Source organism: Homo sapiens, chromosome 3 (genome assembly GCF_000001405.40).
Source record: "Homo sapiens chromosome 3, GRCh38.p14 Primary Assembly".
NCBI lineage: Eukaryota > Metazoa > Chordata > Mammalia > Primates > Hominidae > Homo > Homo sapiens.
The window spans coordinates 83,686,825-83,690,311 of record NC_000003.12 but is presented as its reverse complement, the minus strand read 5'-3'; positions in this window follow the sequence as shown (position 1 = coordinate 83,690,311).

The window sequence follows — 3,487 nt, the reverse complement described above, 5'->3', positions numbered from 1 at the left end:
GTCTTTAATCCATCTTACATTAATTTTTGTATAAGATGTAAGGAAGAGATCCAACAGCTTTCTGCATACGGCTAGCCAGTTTTTCTGACACCATTTATTAAATAGGGAATCTCTTCCTCATTGTTTATTTCATGTTTGTCAAAGATCAGATGGTTGTAGATAATAAGAACTATTTATGACAAACCCGCAGCCAATATCATACTGAATGGGCAAAAGCTGGAAGTATTCTTTTTGAAAACTGGCAGAAGATAAGGATGCCCTCTCTCACCACTCCTATTCAACACGTTATTGAATGTTCTGACCATGGCAATCAGGCAAGAGAAAGAAATAAATGGCATCCAATTAGGAAAAGAGGAAGTCAAATTGTCTCTGTTTGCAGATGACATGTTGTATATTTAGAAAACCTCATTGTCTCAGCCCAAAATCTCCTTAAGCTGATAAGCAACTTAAGCAGTCTCCTCAGGATACAAAATCAATATGATAAAAAGACAGAGTGGCTGCACTGAATTTTTTAAAACAACAAGACTCAACTAGATGCTGCCTGTAGGAGGCTTACCTAACCTTTAAAGATATGCATAGCTGAAAGGGAAGGGATGGAAAAAATATTACTTCCAGACTGGGCACAGTGGCTCACGTATGTAATACCAGCATTTTGGGAGGCCGAGGCAGGTGGATCACCCAAGGTCAAAAGTTTGAGACCAGCCTGGCCAACATTGTGAAATCCCTCCTCTACTAAAAAATACAAAATTAGCCAGGTGTGGTAGCACTTGCCTGTAGTCCTAGCTACTCAGGAGGCTGAGACAGGAGAATTGCTTGAACCTGGGAGGTGGAGGGTACAGTGAGCTGAGATTGTGCCACTGCACTACAGCCTGGGTGAGACAGTGAGACTCTGTCTAAAAATAAAAGAAAAAGAATAAAGAAAGAAAGAAAGAAAGGCTATTACATGTAAATAAATACCAAAAGAGAGAAAGAGCAAAAGTAGCTACATTTATAACATAAAAAAATAAACGTTAAGGCGTAAGCTATAAAAAGAGAGGAAAATAATCATTAAGTAATGATTAAAGGGTCAAATAATCAAGAATGTATAACAATCATAAATATACATGCCCCCCAACATTGGAGCACCTAAATATATTTATAAAAAATTAACTGCATGTTCTTAGTCATAAGTGAGAGCTTAAAAATGAGAACATGTGGACACAGGGAGGGGAACAACACACACCAGGGCATGTTGGGGGGAGGGGAGGGGAGGGAGAGCATCAGGACAAATAGCTAATACATGTGGGGCTTAAAACCTGGACGATGGGTTGATATGTGCAGCAAACCACCGTGACACATGTATACCTATGTAACAAACCTGCACGTTCTGCACATGTATGCCAGAACTTAAAGTAAAATATTTTTTAAAATTAATTAATTAATTAATTAAAGACTGCAGTGAGAGAGAGATTGCAATAGAATCATACTATGGGACTTTAATGACCAAAAAAATGTAAAGACTCTGCAGTGAGATAGAGATTGCAATACAATCATATTATGGGACTTTAATAACCAACTCTCAACAATGGACACATCATCCAGACCAATAATTAATAAAGAATAGCAATGGTGAAGCAAGATGGTGGAAAAAAGGACACCACTGATTGTTTCCCATGCAGGAACACCGAATTTAATAGCTATCTACATTTAAAAAGTGCCTTCAGGGTTTGAGGGCAATCTGGCTGCAACATCTGTGACCCAACTGATTGTCACGCTTGATTCAGCTGATCTGACTGGCTAGGCAGGTTTCCCCTTTTCTCCCTCAGTGCTCCATGTGTGTCCCTTCCAAATCTGCGAGCTTGGTCAAAGATGATGTCCATCCCCCATAGAGGAAGACTGTTCTCCAGTCAAGGGTATACAAATAGCTGTGCTCCCCTGCTAGAACCTCCAAAGAAGCGCTTGTAAAAAGCGCCTTCATAAGAACCAAAAATCAGGTAAGAACACAGAGTACCTAGTTCTAACTTCATATCACCAAAAGAGGCACGGAAGAGGGTAAGAAAGACAGTCTTGAATTGCTGATGACACCCCTCCCTCATTCTCCAGCAGCAGCCATATTGTACAGAGAAGTCTGTGCATGTGGGAGAGGGAGAGCACAGTGATGATGAGACTTTGCATTGAACATAGTGCTGCCATGTAACAGTGGAAAGCAAAATTGGGCTGAGCTCAGTTGATGTCTGCCCATGAAGGCAGCATTTAGACAATCCCTAGCAAGAAGAGAATCGCCTATTCCTGCACTTGGAACTTGAGTTATAGTAAGTCCCACAACCAAAAAAAGTGCTCTGGGGTCTTAAATAAACATGAAAGGCAGTTTAGGCCATGAAGACTGCAAGTCCTAGTTCTGATTTGGGCTTGGAGCCAATGGAGTTGGGAGCATGTGACTTATTGAAACACCAGCTGGGCCAGCTAAGGAAGTGCTTACACCACCCTTTCCCCAACCCCTGACAGTAAAGCTTGTGGCTCCAAAAAAAACCTATTTTTTCTACTTGAGGAGAGTAGAGGAAAGTGTAAAGAGGACTTGTGTTTTGCATCTTTGATACCAGCTCAGCCATAGCAGGATAGGGCAATGGCCAGAGTTGTGAGGCTCCCCATTCTAGGCCTTAGCTTCTGTACATTTTTAGAAACACCCTGGGCAAGACAAGATCCCACTGCCTTCAAGGGAAGGACCCAGCCCTGGCAGGAACTATCACTTGCCGAATAATGCGCTCCTGATTGCTGAATAACCAGTAGTGATATGTAGGTAGTACACTGTGTCCTTGAGTGAAACTATGAGACTTGCTGGGTTCGGGTGACACCTACCACATTCCTACCTGTGGTGACTCTGGTGAAAGAATCCTGCTTAAGAAAAGAAGAGAAAAAAGTAAAGGGGACTTTGTCTTGTATTTTAGGTGTCAGTTTGGACACTGTGGAGTAAGGCACCAATTTTAGTCCCTGGCTTTTGGACAGCATTCCTGGACATGCTCTAGATCAGAGGGGAGCCTACCAATGTGGGAGTGAGTCCACGGCTTTGCAGCATTCACCACAAGCTGACTGCCGAGCCCTTGGAACTTACGTGAACACTGGAAGTAGCTTGGAAGTACTCCCTGTGGGCCTGTGGTGATGGTGGCCATGCAGTAAGACTCTTCTGCTTGGGGAAAGGCGAAACAAGGGTGGGAAGAATTCTGTTTCATGGTTTGAGGGCCAGCTCAGCCACAGTAGAATAGAACATGACGTAGACTTCTAAGGTTTTTGACTCTATTCTCTGGCTCCAGGCACATCTGAGGTCTAGGGGAACTTGTGACCTTGAAGGGAAGGACACAAGCCTGGCTAGCTTTACAACCTGTAAAGCTAGATTGTAGAGCTGTAGGGCATTGAGAGAATGTAGGCCATATCAAGTTCATGGTTACAGCGGGCCTTGGGTGAGACCCAGAGGTGTTCTTGCTTCAGTCTGTTCTAGCACAGTCCCAGTGGC